At 48.5% G+C, this 18310-nt stretch overlaps 2 annotated features.

Moving 5' to 3' along the window:
* Positions 1254-1643: an enhancer, noted in NCBI's record as "active region_15258". NCBI's record gives its function as "activates an Ori minimal core promoter by ATAC-STARR-seq in GM12878 lymphoblastoid cells {active_cell/tissue: GM12878}" and the evidence as "EXISTENCE:reporter gene assay evidence [ECO:0000049][PMID:35858748]".
* Positions 8719-9219: an enhancer, noted in NCBI's record as "H3K4me1 hESC enhancer chr2:8635675-8636175 (GRCh37/hg19 assembly coordinates)". NCBI's record gives its function as "activates a minimal SCP1, AML or CMV promoter by ChIP-STARR-seq in primed H9 embryonic stem cells {active_cell/tissue: H9 hESC(primed)}" and the evidence as "EXISTENCE:reporter gene assay evidence [ECO:0000049][PMID:30033119]".

Genomic DNA, 18310 nt, shown 5'->3' on the forward strand with positions numbered 1-18310 from the left:
TATCTAGAACCGAGCAACCTCACCTGGCAGACAGCTCCCTGACATGAACCTTTATGAAGAAAGCCAAGTTAGTCAAGAGGGAAGCCCCGATCCCAGCCCAAGCAGTCAGATTCCAAAGGCCCGTTTCTGCTGTTCCAAGTTGTTCTTCTCCCCGCCTGCAAATAAAAACACCTAAGGGATTTTTTTTTTTTTTTTTTTTGAGACAGAGCCTCGCTTTGTCGCCCAGGCTGGAGTGCAGTGGCGCGATCTCGGCTCACTGCAAGCTCCGCGTCCTGGGTTCACGCCATTCTCCTGCCTCAGCCTCCTGAGTAGCTGGGACTACAGGCACCCGCCACCGCGCCCGGCTAATTTTTTTGTATTTTTCAGTAGAGACGGGGTTTCACTGTGTTAGCCAGGATAGTCTCTATCTCCTCGGCCTCCCAAAGTGCTGGGATTACAGGCGTGAGCCACCTCGCCCGGCCGGATATTTTTTTTAATGTTGGTTCCCAGGTCTTTTCCTAAGAGTTTCTGATTCCATTGGTCCAGTGTGGGGCCCCAGCTTCTGCGTTTTATTTTAAAACCCCTCAGAAGATTCTAACAGTTCACTGGGCAGCCGGGGCCGACAACGGCTGCATGGCTCCCCTTATTCCTTACAGATCCCAGGCACTCCACGGGGCACATTCTGCCCTCCAGGGGCTGCCAGGTTGCTGAGCAGTGACCAGGAAACCTCACCCAATAAGAGAATTTGTCGGACGGGGGCTTTGGAGAGAGCCAAGTGAGGCCGCGGGAGGGAAGCCTGGGCCAATGCGGTTTGGGAAGAGATGGGAATTGGCAGGAAAGGATTCCTTAGGGGAGGGGACGTTTGTGCTGAGTAAGGTTCACCAAGAGAAAAAGGGGGAGAAAAGTAAACCTGCCATGCTAGCGTCTCCACTTCCCTTTCCTGCTAAACGGCTGTATGGACGTGATCCCCCAGAGGCACGGCGGGCTCCAGCCTGCCCGCTCAGCCCTTCTCTGACTGGAGAGGAAAGCACGTGTGCCCATCAGCCCACGAGCTGCAGCCACCAGCCCCACGGCCTCCTGGATGAACTCCATTAAGCCAACTCAGAGAGTTCAATTTTTGCTTCAGTTCTAAAAAGACAAATGAGGATCTGGGTGAAGAATTGTTAGAGATTTTTCATTCTAATTGAGAAACTCACCCAGAGAGGCTGCCAGAGCCCAGGTAATCAATCTCTTGGGCCGTGTGTGACAGGGCAGCCTTCGCGCCCCTATTCCACGGGGAGAAATCAGAACTTCCGGTGGACCCGCAGGGGTCACAGGAAGTCCCCTTTGCACAGACCGGTCCCCATTGTCGGGAAGAACAGGGTGACATCCAATCAGCTTCTCCAGGTCCAAATCAATCACCTACATTTCAATTCCCTTTTCTCATCAAATGCCAGCTGCGAAAGAGCCCAGCCTCATCAGAATTCTGCTGTGATGAGTGTTGAAACTACAGGAATTAAGAACTAGGTCACCGCAGGGGAAGGCTGCTCTGTGGTTTCATTATCTAGGTTGCTGGAAAGCCCCCATCTCACAGGGATCCCCCTAGTCACCAGAGCACCGTGAGGCGTGGATATTCAGCATCCGAAATGCATTTTTTGTGGGGACAGCAGCACACGTGGGGAAGGAACACAGAATCGGCTGTGGCCAGCGGGTCTATTCATGCCGTGAAGATCCTCCCAGACCCCTCCCGATGCCTACTGGGCTTCAGGCCCCAGGAAACAAAGCTAAGTCATGCTAGCCCCTGCTCTGGAGAAACCGCTTCCCGGTGGCTGGGATGGAAACAAGCACCAGGCCCCGAGGATGCAGAATCAGAGGATTCCCAGGAGCTTCGTGTGAGGCTGGAGGGCCCAGCTGGGATGTGCAGGGAGGGACCCCTCAGGGCTGTGCGCTTTAGCTGAGCTGAGTGCAAAGGATGACAAGGAGGAGAAAAAGAAAAGAGAGCAAGATGGAGCTGGGGCGAGAGCAGAGAGATGCATCAAGGGGAGAAAGCAATGTGTCCAAAGACATGAGACAGAGAGGCCCATTCCCTCTGTGGGAGGTGGAAGAGGGGCGGTGGGCCCTCTTTGAGCCCACCTGCTGTGCTAGGGAGGCAGAACTGTGCCCTAAGACACAAGAGACTTGTTGGATGACTTTCTGGCAAAGACAGAACCTGATCAGATGCATGCGTCTGAAAGGATGGTGCAGGCAGCCTGCAGCCCGGGAGCAGGGTGAGAGGCTGCAGGATCACAGTGGGCAGCTGGGCCACCCTAGGGAAGGCACTGACTGATTGGAGGTTTGCAGGCTAACCAAGCTGGAGGCTGCATGTGAGAAGGAGGGAGGAGAGCTCCAGGACAATCACAGATGATCATGATGGGCTGGGCGCGTGCCGCCTACGCTGTACCCACTAAGCACTTAACTTGCATTATTTTATCATCTTCAAAATCCCTTGCCGCAGGAGCTGTTATAGTCCCCATTTTTCAGAAGAGAAAACAGAGACAAAAAGCAGTTGAGACCACAGAGCCATGACATGCAGTACAAGGCCGTCGGCTTCCAGGGTCCCCTGTTAACCACAGCCTAGCGTGCCCATCCAAGGCCGGCCCATGGTGGCCAGCTTGCACAGCAGGGTGGATGGCAGGGCCAGTCATGGGGAAGGAGGGCACTAACAGAGAAGGTCTAAGCTGAGACACCAGTGGAAGATCTAGGGCAACAGGCAACACTGCCCCGTGGGAATTCTTCTGTGCTATGTTCTAGAATGTTCTGTAATTCTGCCCTGTCTGATACAATAGCCGTGAGTCACATATGTGAAATACAGCTACTGCAAGTGAGGAGCTGAATTTTAAACTTCATTTCATTTTAATTAACGTTCATCACCACATGTGCAACTGGCTACCATGCCAGTTATGGTAGATCTAGGGTTTGCAGACAGCAAGCAATGTACTTTTTGCATCTAAAGCTCAGGAAGGCACCTGGGCTGGTGATGTATGAACAATGGTTTCCGCTTAGCAGCTCCAGGTACTTCTGGCTGGTATCATGCATTCCTATTTGGTAAGAAAACTAAGGCTTACGGATGTTAAGCAAGGCCCCACATTCGTGCATGGATGACCCAGACACAGCACAGGGGAATCCAATTCCGAAGCCCCTTTGTTTATCTACCACGGCCCCTAATACCACCCCCAAGTTTTCCGTAGAGCAGGATAAGAACACAGGCCTCTGGGTTTGGGGACCGCCACTTATAGGTGAAATCACAGGGGTGCATGCGACCACCCAAGGTGTGTGCAGAATCTAAGAAAAGGTGCTAAGGAAAGAGTCCAAGGGGACATGGAGAAGAGAAAAGGCCCCTGAGGGACCTCAGAAAAAATACCCAGAAAAATAGGAGGAAGATCATGCTTTCATTCATTTTACCAAGCACCAAGCATCCACTCTCTCATTTCTAGCAAATGAAAGAGTGATTGCCTGGTCCTCAGTGAGTCCTGTTCACTGAGGGCCACACTACAAGGCAGAAGTCAAACCACCACCTGGGACAGAGGCCCATGCAGGGCCAGTGCCAGGGCAGGAAAGTGAGAGCTCGCCCCTGGCTGATCTGACCCAGGAAGGCTTCCTGGAGGCAAGCAGTATTCTTAGAAGCTAATATCCTGTGCACCAGAGAACTCCCTTGGAATGGAGTGGAATTATTCCCCTGAATAACTTAAGCGAATTCCTAGTGGAGCACAAAGTCAATGTAAATGTAAGCTTCTGGAGGTTGCCTCAGTAAGGCCAATGCACTACTGAGGAATGATAAGAAAAATGCCAGTAAGTGGTTTCCATGAGGTCATTATTTTTATTGAATCATAAAATATTGAGCAGTTCTGTTTTATTTTTAAAAACAGAAACTCAAGAGATGAAGTAGAAACAAGCCAAGTGAAGTTTGTTAGTTCCATTAAAATATTACCTGCCAGAGGAAAGAATGTACTATAATTGTCATCTATGCTCAATGCATACTAAATACCACCTACATGTGACCAGCGGTTTATATTCTTTTCAACTTCTCTGCTGCCATCTTAACCATTTCAGGGAAATAAGCTGTAGAAAGTCAAATTAGGGCTTAAAGAAACGAGACTTGGCCTCAAAGATAAATAGTATCATTGCCCTGATTTCATTGTTTCAAATATAAGATTTTATTTTGAGACGAAAGTTTAATTAGGCAGAGGTGGATCACTAAATTCTTTGACTTCAGAATCATACTTTCTGCAAGATTTCACCTGTGAAATTCACTGCCTTTAATTACTGCCTCACGTTAAAAGAGAGAATCTTTCTTCTGAATGGCTAATAATGTTATTATAAGAGGTAATTACAGAGCAGTTATCTGTGGTCAGTAACACCAACGTATGTAGATGGCAATATTCTGGTTTTTGAACTTTGAAGGCAATTTGTTAGGGAAACACTTTCTTCCCCAAACAATGTTGATGTTTTGGATTTGTTGGTCTTTTCTGATCTTCTTTTTTTTTTCTTTTTAAGAAGGAAAAAAAGAAGCATTTAGAAATCAGTCCTTTACTGGATGAATTTCTTCACTTCCCAGAAAGCAAGAAAACAATTGTTTCCTGTAATTGGACAGTTTGATTGGAGGCAGGTGGTGCTGAGCTGAGGAAACTGGAGCCACAAAGCCAATTTTGGCTTCAAGCACATTCCCTTTAGTTCTAAGTTCCAGCAGTACAACATGTAAATTGGCTTCACAAAAGCCGATTATAAATTTAGTTCCCGTTTCTCTAACAAGCACCTTATCGGCGATGAAGAGTTTTGGCAAATGGGGACAGCGTACAGATCAGACGCGGTTAGAAAGCTGCCCTGAGATACCCCAGCACTAATTCCTTGAACATGTTCTTGCTACCACAAAGCAGAAATTTATGAGCGATCCCGGGAGCCATCGTGTGTCATCGTTTTAAACTATGGTGATTTCTTCTTTTTTCAGGTTAACTGGCCTTTGCGTTGCTCGTGCTGCATTATCTTGAGTTAATATTTGCCCTCCATATTTTCAAGTAACAGGCCAAGTCAACTTGGCGTTGCGGATTGCAAACATCAGCCCTGAGTATGGCCCAAACTTCAAGGTCTGGGAAATAAATGGGAGCCGTTTATTATTCCCTGCTGCCTTCACCCCGTCTCTGAGCCCTCTCCTTTCTCTTCCCATGTGCTGGTTCATGCATTTTTACCCCTTGCAGGGCAGCTGAGAAGCAATATTCCTCTTTTACAGATGGAGAAGCTGAGCCCCACAGAGGTTAACTGCTTTGGCCAATGTCACACAGTCAGTCAGGAGCAGAGAAGTAATGGGCCCAAGTGCCAGCTTCCCAGTCGTGTTCCAACTTCGTGTTGGAACTGCTCCAACTTCGTGTTAATTAATTTCCTCCCTACTGTAAATCCATAAATTAAAATAGCCATTTATAAGAGACATGGGGGTTTCTAATAAATGGAGGCACATTCTTGGAGGAAAGGCAGGGGGAAATTTATCTGGTAATTTCTATCCAGTTATTGTCTTTATATACTCTCTATATTAAATCAGTGACTGTAAAGGTCCAGCATGTTTTATAATTAACTTCTGACCATGCTTAAATTTTTAGAAATGTTAATCTAATGTCTAGGTGAGATTTGAGCTTCTTATTATTGTTAGAACTTGGAAATAACCTTTTCTGATCCCAAATAGATTAATGGCTGAAATGATAACTTTGTTCTCAGATAAATTTCACCGGTCAGTCTGCCTTTCTGTACAGAATTATTTTACAAAAACACATTGCAGAGTTCGCTGAGTGCCTCGGAACTGCAACACTCTTGTTTTTCAAGGCGATTACATCCAAGGAAATGCCACTACATTTTCCTCTCCAAGCCAGTGGATACCTGCAGTTCAAAACGTTGACTTTGCTGAGAGTCCCAGAATCTAAACACTGGAGGTCAGGTGAATTGAGGTCTTCTAGAGTGACGAGGACACTTTTGCTTTTAATCGTTGGCTAAAGATATTCTCTACAGACATGCGAGTCTGAAAGGGAGATGATTTCCTTTTTTTTTTTTTTTGGGGGGACGGAGTCTCACTCTGCCGCCCAGGCTGGAGTGCAGTGGCGCGATCTCGGCTCACTGCAAGCTCCGCCTTCCGGGTTCATGCCATTCTCCTGCCTCAGCCTCCCAAGTAGCTGGGACCACAGGCACCCGCCACCACGCCCAGCTAATTTTTTTGTATTTTTAGTAGAGATGGGGTTTCACCGTGTTAGCCAGGATGGTCTCGATCTCCTGACCTCGTGCCCCTCCTGCCCCTGCCTCCCAAAGTGCTGGGACTGCAGGTGTGAGCCACTGCGCCTGGCCCGAAAGGGAGATGATTTCTCTCCCAACCTGTTGGAGAGAGAATTCTCCTGCCCATCTTCATGTTGTAATTACCCTGTCCTGCCCCAGATGAACAGCTTCACGCAGCTGCCACCCCAGGACTGCTGGGGCACACAGGGAGGAAGAGAAGACAAGCTCGCAAATACTGTGAACGTTTTCTAAAAAGGAATGTGTGCTGATTAAACCTGTCAGAAAGCAGACTGAGTTTGCACAAGGAGTTCTGGTTGATAGATAACTCAGAAATCTTGGCAACAATACAGAACCAATATTTTTATAGAGGTGGCACCATCTTAAACAATGTCCTTAGTGTGCAAGACACAGGCAGCCCTTCTATCAATATCCAGCAAGGGTGACTTTTTCCTCCACCTCCTCTGAACAAACAGGCTGATGAAGGAGCCGGAATGGAGGTGGGAGGGAGACGGGTTGGGCAGGACACAGTGGGAAACAGGAAAGTGATTTTAATGATCTCTTTCAATAACGCAGCCACCTCCCTCAACTAGATGTGACTCTGGCCAAGCTAGGTTAAAACAGGTCGCCATGCTAAGCTGGAACCAGCCCCCCAATTCTGTTTGTTTATCCTAACATGTAGAAGTAGCTACACAAACTTTGGTTTAACTACATGCAGTCAGCAGCACATTGCGTTTCTCCTCAATCAGGCACAAGACTGTCAGAGTCACCACACTGCTATCGACAAGTGCAACGTTAGCAGCATCAATGTCCCTGCCTCCTTCCTCCTCTCTGACCTGAGCACCTCCTCTGGAATATTCCCCCTGTTCACCCACAAGGACTTTCACACTCTGTCCCTTAAAGAAAAAAAAAGAAAAAGAAAGAAACCTCTTTGTATAACAGCATGTCTTCCCAAACCTGTATCTCTTCCCAGAAAAATAAAAAAAGAATTGAAGCTTTTGTCAACCTAATCCACAGGTTATCAGAGGTGGGGGCGTCCATCTGGGCTAAGGTGAAAACAGCAGCCCCCTGATGGTGCAAACATTGGCAGGGGGCAGTGAGCTGAGATGTGGCCCATGCCCACCACTGGGGGCTCGAGGCCAAGCAGAGCACCAGGGGAGAGGGTCATCAGACAGTGGCATCCGTGCGCCCCACCCCCGGGGGATTCACTTCCAGGGGCTGCCATGACAAGGCACCACCAGCTGGGCAGCTTAAAACAAGAGAAACGCATCCTCTCACAGTTCTGGAGGCCAGAAGTGCAACACCAAGCTGTTGGCAGGGCCCTGCCCCCTTTGATCCCTGTGGAAGAGAATCCTGCCTCCCTCTCTGGCCACCACTGTGGCCGACAGGCCCTGCCTTCCCTGGCCTGCAGCTGCGGTGCCTCTGTCCCGGCCTCTGTCCTCACATGGCGTCTCCCTGTTTCTCTATGCCTTCCCCTCCTCTTACAGGGACACTTTACTCCAGTACCTCATCTTAACTAATTACCCCCCAGTCCTATTTCTAAATGAGGCCACATTCTGAGGCCCTGGGGGTTGGGACTGCCACACAGCTTTTGCAGTGGGGTTGGGGAGCATGATTCAGCCCATGACGTCCACTGCCACCTTCCAGTGGCTCCTCTCCTCAGAGAATAAAATCCACATCCCATGGTCTTGCCTTCCATGAGCTGGCGACTTTCCAGGCTCACCTCCTGACATCCTCCTTGTGTTCCAACCCAGGGCCCTCCCTCCCTTTCAAGGCTGCCCCTGCACTTCCTGTTGCTGTTCCTTCCTCCAGGAATGTCCTTCCCTATCCAGCTTCAGTGCCCTCCTCTCCCTGGAGTTTCCTTACGTGTCCTCAGCAACAAAGGAACAGAGCTCCATGTCCCTTGCCTTGATTTTCTCTTAAGGGATTTACCATGTTCTACTTCTTGTCCCAATAGTAAATGATGTGATTTTTCTTTGACCCCTGTGGGCACCTTAGAGCTGAAACTTGCCCTTGCAGTGCCTGTCAAGCAACAGATACTCAATGAGTGTTTCACGCAGCTGGTACATCTGACACAATTGACCTGGCATGGGTGCTGACATTAGGACGTCTGGCCCTTGGAAGGAGGAAGACAGGAGGAGGGATAGGCACGAGGCAAAGGAGGATGATGACTCTGCAACAATCTTACTTTCCTCACGTCTGCATTTACTACTTAGAACCTTGGGCTCCAACAGCACTGGCCGGCGGTGGTGACTGACGGGTGGTGAATTGAGCCATGGAGAGATGGCCCTGAGTGCCAGTGAACAATGCTCCCCTTCTGAATCCTGAGGCCCTGGAGAATTTCTGCAAGCATGAGTCACCACCTTCCAGAAAGAACCCATGGCCACTGAAGAGCTGCTTCCGACCCAGCCCCAGGTACCGTCTTGTGGTGAACTGGCCTCTGAGCTCCCCAAGAGGAGTGGAGGCTGGATGCTAAGCTGCAGAGGGAATGGCTGGAGGAGACCAGCTGCAGCTGCTCCTCGACCCGCCACACGTGAGGAAGAGGATGCTGCTGTGTTAGATGGAGGATAGGCTGGGACATCGCAGTGCTTGGGGTCCACCCCAGAGCTCCTCACTGCCCAGAGACACCAAGCTGTCCACTCAGTTGTTTCCTGTCAGCTTCCTTGGGGGTGGTGGGTGATCACCTGCCTGCCAACGGCTGGCATTACAGCAGGTGGTGTGTGTGAAGTCCCCACACACTTCTTGCTGCACAGCAGGTGCTCAGGGGACAGTCAGTATTGTGGCCTATCTCATTTCTTCCAACAGTCAAATTGTTGGCATCCCCAACCAGCTGAATGTGCCTTCCTGGGCTTCTGAAAAGTGTCAGAAGTAAGGAACTCTCAGTAGGGACTGGCAGGTCCATCCTGCAGCTACCACTCTCCCAGAATCCACCCACTCCCCACACTGAGAAAAGTCAGCCTCCTCTCCAATTTCCCCTTCCTCATCTTCACAGACACACAGTCCCCCCTTGCAATGTCTTTGCATCCTTCCATCCCATTCTTTCCCCCCCAACATAGTAACCTTCCCCGAATGCCTGACCAGCAAACCTTCCAGCATGCCAGTCAATTCACGTTCTCAACTTGTACTGAGCCCCTCCCAGTCTGGTTAGCTTCAGGAGTAAGGAAGCCACACCAGCCCTGCTGTTTGGAGATCACTGTCCAGCTGGGGAGGAGAGCCCGGCAGCCAAGGCCCTGCACAGCCCGGGCCTGACACCACTCTTCTGCCTCTTGTCAATCTCTCTCCCCACCACAGCAAAGAGAGCTGCTGCTAGCCCTGAAATAGACCTGGCAGAGCTTTCCAGCCCCTGGGTTTTCTTCCCATCAGGTTTTCTGCCTGGATTTCTGGCCTTACACCTTTCTAGGTATCCAAATCCCACCCATAATCAAAGCCCTTTGAGCTCATTCATTTTCCAACATTTCCCGGCAACTCTAATGCCAAGTAATCATGCCTCCTTCAACCTCCTCCCTCAGTGCAGCTCAGATTGTTAAGTTGGCTCCTATAGTTATTAACCTTTTGATGTAAATGTCTCTTCCTCTCCAACTAGAATGCAAGGGTGCTGGCCATGGGGCTGCAGCTGAGTCTTGTCCTCTGGTGTCAGCGGTGACTGAAAGACATACCAGGGCTCCCCAGGGCACAATCCCTCCCCTGACCAGGGATCATAACCAAGGACACACCTCCGCAGGAAACAGTCCTACTCCAACCACTGCACTCTTCAGCCCTCTGTTTAGTTTGGATGGATTTCTACCTATGTCCTTCCTTATCAGGCAGGAGGCAGCTGGCCGGGAGGGCTGCTCCTTCCTGCTCCCTGTGAAAGGCCTGGCGAATCCACCAGACCCCTGGGCTCCATCAGATTTGGAAATTCCCAGTGTCAGAATCTCCTCCTTCCACTTTATCCCATCAAGAGGTCATCTAACGTTTTCTTAAATTTTGCCAGTGTTGGACTGTTCCCCAACCATGAAGACAGGTCATTCCCTTCAAAGACAGCCCTAATACAGCCCTAATTGTTGCAGAGGAAATCTCGTTTGTGGAGCTCTTGGTGCACAACGGCTAGTCCAGGTGTCTCTTTAATCCATACAACTACCTTGTGAATTATACACTATGTTACCATCTCCATTAAATAAGAGGAATCCAGGGCTCAGAAAAATTCAGGCAACCTGAGTCTCACATGCATAATGATACAGTTCAAAGTACAGCTGCTCTCAAGACCATTAGTCTTTTCTTAACTTCAAGTTTATTATTGATCTTCTTATTAATAGTAAAGTGCCTCATTTTCATGGTGCCAAATTTTACCATGGTATATTTTCCACCCTCTGACTTGTGTTCTACATCTTGGCCCACGAATGACTATTTTATCCCTTTTTTGTGATCATCCTTCAGACATTGAGAAGTCATCAGTCTGTCCCTCTGACCCATCTGTGTGTTTCTGGAGCAGAAGCAAGCAGTCACCTGCAGGAACAGTGCATGTATAATGGGGACCCTTCTAAGCCTGGCCTCAACAACCCAGCTCCTTGAGAGCATAACTGCCTTTTTTATTTTTTATTTTCTTTTAATTTTAACTTTTATTTTAGATCCGGGGGCACACGTGCAGCTTTCTTACATTGGTATATTGCGTGATACTGAGGTTCCGGGTATGATTGATGCTGTCACCCAGCTGGTGAGCATAGTACCTGGCAGTTTTTCGATCCTGGCCTCCCTCCCTGTCCCCTCTAGTAGTCCCCAGCATCTACTGTTGCCATCTTTATGTACCTGAGTACCCATGGCCCAGCTCCCCCTTATAAGTGAGAACAAGCAGGATTTGGTTTTCTGTTCCTGCATCAATTCGCATACAATAATGGCCTCCAGCTGCATCCGTGTTGCAGCAGAGGACATGACTTCATTCTCTTTTATGGCTGTGTAGTATTCCATGGTGTATATGTACCACATTTTCTTTATCCAGTCTACTGTTGATGGGCACCTGGGTTGATTCCATGTCTTTGCTATTGTGAACAGCACAGCATAATTTCTTGAAAGCCATGGCTAATGTCAGTCTTTCCAGAGGACAGAATAAACAAGTGCATATCAGTGCCCTTAAGATTGGTTTCAGGAAAGAGAAGGTGCTGATTTGATGTCATTTCAGGGCCTCCCTCCCTGCAAGCAACCACAACCCCTGCTGCCACGTGACTCTCTCTTCTCTTATCCCTAAAAAGGAAGAATGAAGTCTTCTACGGGGGAGAAGATCAGAGCACAAAGTCCAGGGAGGGAAATCACAGAGGCCGAGAGCCTCCCAAAGAAGTGAATGTTGATCCGTGTTTCCTTGAGCAGAGCATGTTGGGAGAGGAACCCCATCTGGGCTTGGAGGTGGCAGCCCGGCAGTAAGAAGGGAGAACTGGGGCAGGGGGACATCTGCACGTGTCCCTGAGAGTCTCACTGCTGACACTGTCAGCGACCTGGGATTCTCCAGGCCTGTCCACTGGGATCTGGTTGTCAACCCGAAGCTTCCTTTCTGTATGACTCCAGAGCAGCTCACAGCACATAGACATTGCTGCAAATTCTGGCTCCACCAAACCAGGCCAAGATCATCCAATACACCCAGTCATTCATCAAGACATACATGTCTGTCAAGCTATTGCTTTTTGCCTGTCACTGTGTGAGAACAGTGAGGTGGGTCCGCTACAGGTTAACATAACAGAATGAGCTCGCCCTGGCTTTGCAGCCAGACCTGGTTCCTGTCCAGATTCACTGACTTGCTGCATGACTTTAGGCACCCCCTATAGCCTCATCTGCAAAATGAGGATGAGGATGGAGGCCACATCCCAGAGTGAGGTAAAGGTTAAATGAAGAGGTTGCTCATCCCTGCCACATAGGAAATATTCCAATGCTAGTTCTTTTCCCTCTGATCTCACGCACCTCAGAGACCAGCCAATTACTGGCTGTTCATGACAATCTTTTATTTTCAGTTAATAGTCCTGATACATCATTCAACAGATATTAGGAATCTTGAGGCACGTATATGGTATCCTTGTGAGAGAGCACTTTATCTTTTTAAAGTATTTCCTTTCTTCTGTATGATTGTCACCCCACTTCTATTTAGTTTACTTCCACTTTTAACTTCCTGGTTTTCTTAAATTCCACAATATTTACCATAATTTTATCTACTGACATGTAGAGTGTCAGCCCCACCCAGAGACATACTGGGGCCTCATTCACCTCACCATAGGATGTCCATGTTTTCAACAAGGTTGCTTGGCCCGTTTGACAAATTATATATCACCGTGCCTTCTCCTTCCACTGAGAGGAGTATAGAGAAGTGGTTGATAGTGTGTGTCCTAGAATTGGATCACCTGAAGCAGATTCCAGCTCTGCATTTTGCCAGCTGTGTGCAAGTCACCTAATACCTTCAGGCTTGGGATCCTCATCTGTAAAATGGCAAGTCATGATCGCTAATTTGTGGGCTGCTCCTAGGAACTAAATGTCATCCTGCAAGCCCAGTGCATGGCACATAGTAAGTGATCAATATACTGTAGCTATTGATGCTCTTTTCTGTTGATACTCGTGCGATCTCTGCTGCCTACACATTTGTGTGGAGTGTGAAGTGGAAAGCCAAAAGAACAGGAGAGAGGAAAGCCAACTGGCGTCCTGCGCTTGACAGCACAGACCCCAGTGAGGCAGCCCTTCTTATGCTGGAAGGGGCCCCGGTCACATCACACGCTGCCTTGGGAAAGCATTGTTCCTATCACATGAGCCAGGTGAGAGGGGAGGAGAACACACAGGAGCAGCCACGCAGTTTCCTTCGGGAAATTAACAAGCGCTTCACAGTCTCTGCATAGCCATAAAAGAACCTCTGCAATCCCCTTCGGACCTGTGAGCTGCCAGAGGGGTCTTCTTGAGCCTCGGGGCTCATGGCTGGCCTCAGCCTCCAGAAGTAGAACTTGATGCCCTTGGGCCAGCTGGCTTCTGGTTTCCCCAAGGCACCAGCCCTCTGTACTCCTCAGATCCCGCTGCTGCCATGTGACAGCTTCAGGAGCCAGGCCTCACCTCCCTCCCAATTAGTTCATTGTGGGAAGGCCCCTGACACAAACAGGGATCCCATGCTACTGTCCTTTGCTCAGCACATCCCTTAAATGTGGCCCCCATGTGCCCCGAACCTTTAAGAGAAGCTGGGGCTGGCTGTCTCTGTGCTCCCTAGCGCCCAGCACCCTCTGTCCCAGCCCTCACACAACTACATCATCACCACTCCCTCACTCTGATGTCCCCTCCTAGGCCTAGAAGGCCCTAAGAGCAGGAGTTGCATTTTCTAATCCACGTATTCTAACCAATGTAGATGCTGGATAAATGAGTGAAAGAACACAGGGAGGGAAGGCAAGGAGGGAAGGAGGGAGGGTGAAATGAAATAGAGGTTCCTAGAAGGTGGATCGCCTTTCTGCCTGTGATCTCTGCTCGTCTTGTTCCTGTCTGTTGCTGAGTCCTTGCCAACCAAGCGCTGCAATTCACCACCTGCGTACCCTTCTTTTCCTCTACAACTGAGGGAAGAGACTTGTTAGGATAGTTCTGACCTAGTGTATTTAACCAGAGAAAGAAATTACCTCTCACTTCCAAGTGTTTCTTGACATAATCCTTTGGCAAACAGTTTGTTAGAAGCCACGAGTAACAGAACAGCGAGCCTGTGTACTCAGGCTGTTGAGCAAACCTTGACCTGAGTCACTAGAACTGGAAGACAGTTCCAGTTTTTTGAATGTGAGCAGCTGTAGCTCAAATTTCAGCAGGCTAGAGGAGGTGGGCAGGAACATCAAAACATGGGATTCTTAGGACTAAACTCCTAAGTCCCAGGTACTGAGAACCTGAGCCGCAGGTAGTACACACCTGAGTGCCAGGTAATGCAGGTGACGCACACCTGAGCCCCAGGTAATGCAGGTGACGCACACCTGAGCCCCAGGTAGTACAGATGATAATGCACACTTCAGCCACGGGTAGCAAAGGCAGTTCACAACTGAACCCCAGGATACTGTACACCTGAGTCCCAAGTGTTGTAACCCTGAGTCTCTGGGTGCTGTGCCCCTGGCTGCCAGGGGTCTATACCTCTTGAGTCCTGGGGTGCTGCAGGCTTGATGCCTACCGGATAGTAAGTCATTTCACCAGAGAACCCACACTTCAGAGTCTGACAGTCCGAGACGCACTGTCACAACTCTTGCTCATGTGATTCTCACCACAGTCCTGTGAGCTATTGCCATCACTTCCACTTTACATAAGGGGAAACGGAGGCCCAGGGAACTTAAGCAGCTTACCCAACAGCACCTGTAAGGGGCTGACAGCGCCAGGACATCAGTCCAGGCCTTTGGATTCCAGACCTCACATTCTGCCTGCCTGAGCCACTCACTCATCCTGCTGATGAGAATATAAGTCGGCACACACTTTGAAAAGGCGCTTATAGCCATGTATAGCCAAAGGACTTGAAGTAAATATGTTCAGTACTTTGACCTGTTAAGTACCTTCTGGGAAGCCATCCAAATGAAATACCCCAGAATATGGGGAAAAAAACCTTTCTACACAAAGATGTTCATTGCTTTATTACTTATTGAGAATATACTATATTCTAAAAACTTGCAAATTGTCTAAAATATTCAACAACAGGAAAGTGGCAAGTACATTAAAATATGTACATTAAACTATGCATTTATTTAAAAGACGCTATTTAGAAAAATACAGTAAAAATGTGGGAAAATAGATTAAAACTTTAAATGAGGACAGGAGGCTGCAAACCTGGATGTATACTATTATTCAAATATATATTATTATTCTACAAATTTATTTAAAACCATTTATTGAGCACCATCTGCATACCAAATGCACTCTACAGGTATTAAGGATAAAATGGAAAATGAAAAAAAAAAACTTAGACTCTATCTACTGAAGCCTACAATCAATGGGTAATTACAACTCTGTGAGAAAACTAATCAGTAGGGAAAAACAGACCAAAACAAAATCTACCAAAAAGTAACGGTAGTTAATTTCTGGTTGTGAAAATACAGGTGGTTGCTTTTTCTTCTCTTTTTGTTCTTTTGCATTTTTAACCTTTCAGCAATGAACAAGTGTTGCTTTTTAAAAATAAGACTTTATTTTCATTCATTCTTCTTTTTTTTAGATGGAGTTTCACTCTTGTTGCCCAGGCTGGAATGCAATGGCTTGATCTCAGCTCACTGCAACCTCCATCTCCCGGGTTCAAGCGATTCTCCTCCCTTAGCCTCCGGAGTATCTGGGATTACAGGCATGCACCACCATGCCCAGCTAATTTTGTATTTTTAGTAGAGACAGGGTTTCTACTGTCCACACCCAAGGCTCTTGGACAGATTCCAGATGCCAGGCTGAGAATCTTTGCAAGTCCCTGTTAGCTGGCCCAGTGCCCGCCAGGTCATGGGAATTCAGCAAACGACCCCAGTGGGGGCAGTGTGGCCATCTGAAGAGGCCTCAGCTTTGCACGACACAGAGTGAATGATCCCAGCTCAGCCCCTTCCTGGCTGCAAAACCGTGGGCCCTCCAGTCCTCAAGCCCCTCTGCATTCATCTTGTGGGATGAACTCCCCCACAGAGGGTATGGACAGACGTGGTGTGCACAGTGGGTGCCCTATTAGTGAAGGTTATTATTTGTTGAACTTGGTTGAACCCAGGCCACCTTCGGCAGCTGCCCTAGTCCAATCCTTCTTTTCTTACTTCCACTTGACAAGTGTCATTAAGCCCATGTATCAGACTGTCTCTGAAGAGTAATGCTGGGGTGTTTGATGGTGATGACAATGATGTCCAAGGATCTGTTAAGCCACATCCACATGGCCTGGCAGTGGCTGCGTCTCCCTTCCGAGAAAGACCCCAGAGCAAGTCCCTTAGGAACACTCCCTCTCTAGGAAGGCACTGCCATGGAAAGATCATGGCAGGGGCTGCCAGGTCTAGGAAGTTCTCAGCACACGTGGGCCGGGGAGGCAACTGACCTTCCACGCCCAGCATCTTGTGGAAGGCATGATGCACTGCCAGCCCTGCTTCCCCTCCTCTGCGCTCCTCACCTGGGCAACCTAAAGAAAGTGTGGGTGGAGTTGGCACTGCATCCATGGTGGAACATCAACAATGCCGGTGATGAGGGTAATTTTCAGATGAGTTGAGATAAGCCTGCTGCGTTACTCTCTGACCTTCGCCGTCATTTTCACACAATAGGTGGATGATAATGTTGAGCTGTGTCTAAGAGCTCCTCCAGACAGAGAGGAATGAGCAAAGGCAGCATGAACCCAAACAAACAGAAGCAATTTCAGCTGCAGAAGTCCTTCAGGGCTTAAAAGCATTGTTTGCTACGCATTAGGCATTTCTGAATCTGAAGAGAATCTTTTTTCTCTCCCTTTCCTATTTCTCAAATAAGGATGATCTAGGGAAAAATATCAGGGGAGTGGAGGTCAGGAGAGGAGTGTGTGGATTCAGCTCTGCCTGGGGCAAGGCGCTTTTTCTCTCTGCCCCCCTTCCCCCCATTTCCATCTGTAATAAGGCACAGGCTGGACCAGACATGCCTCCAGTGCCTGCTAGCTCCACCAATAAGGACCGTGAATAACACTTATTCCCATTCCCATTTTACTGGTTTCCGAATATGAGAAGATCATTGCCAATTTTTCTCTTTTCTCTTTCAACACTACTGTGATGGTTAATGGTGAGTGTCAACTTGATTGGATTGAAGGATGCAAAGCATTGGTCCTGGGTGTGTCTGTGTGGGTGCTGCCAAAGGAGATTAACATTTGAGTCAGTGGACTGGGAGAGGCAGACCCACCCTCAGTCTGGGCACCAGCTAATCAGCTGCCAGTGCGGCTAGGATAAAGCAGGCAGAGGAACATGGAAGGACGAGACTGGCTGAGTCTTCCAGCCTCCATCTTTCTCCTGTGCTGGATGCTTCCTGCCCTCGAACATTGGACTCCAAGTTCTTCAGTTTTTGGACTCTTGGACTTCCACCAGTGGCTTGCCAGGGGCTCTCGGGCCTTCGGACACAGACTGAAGGCTGCACTGTTGGCTTCCCTACTTTTGAGATGTTGGGACTCGGACTGCTTCCTTGCTCCTGGGCTAGCCGATGGCCTATTGTGGGACTTCACCTTCTAACCGTGTGAGTCGATTCTCCTTAATAAACTCCCTTTTATATATACATCTGTCCTATAAGTCCTGTCTCTCTAGAGAACCCTGACTAATGCAACTACTTCATAAGCCACTCTGCTCTCCTTCTACCACACTTACCTGCTCACAGGGCAAAACCTGTCAGGGATGTGGAGCTTTGTAGGGCAGACGAACCCACCAGCCTCCCATGCAAGGCACCCGAGAGGGGTTAGAGGTAGTAAGGAAAAGGGCTAACGGAGGTGGCTCCTGGATAGACAAACACCAGTTCCAAGTCCTCAGGCCCCAGAAACCTCTCAGGACCCAATCTCATTTGTTCAACTCCAAGTCAACCATGACCCATGGAAAGCTCATGAATCCGTGGTGGCCAGCAGGCAAGAAACAATGTTGCTATATACTGGTGTTTGCCATCGGTGGAAATTCATACTACGGAATGATCTCATCCGTGTGCATCTGCTCCAGCTGCCCTAACAAAGTAGCACACTGGGGCCTTAAACAACAGAGATGCAATTCCTCACAGTTCCGGAGGCGGGAAGTCCGAGATCACAGTGTTGGCAGGTCTGATTCCTCCCAAGGCCTCTCTCCCTGGACTGCAGAGGCTGATTCCTACCTTTGTCCACACATGGTCGTCCCTTTGTGTGTGTCTGTGTCCTAATCTCTATTCTTACAAGGACACCAGTCACAGCAGATTAGGGCCCACCCTGATGACCTCATTTTAATTTAATGAACCTCTTTTTTTTTAATCGGCATACATTACTTATTTTTATTAATGTAAAATAAAATATATTAACATTCTATTCGCTACATGTCAAAACACAATTTTAATGGCTTAATAATCTTCTATCATATACATGTATCATATTTTTTATCATACTTTAAGTTCTAGGGTGCATGTGCACAACGTGCAGGTTTATTACATATGT

Source organism: Homo sapiens, chromosome 2, assembly GCF_000001405.40.
Source record: "Homo sapiens chromosome 2, GRCh38.p14 Primary Assembly".
NCBI lineage: Eukaryota > Metazoa > Chordata > Mammalia > Primates > Hominidae > Homo > Homo sapiens.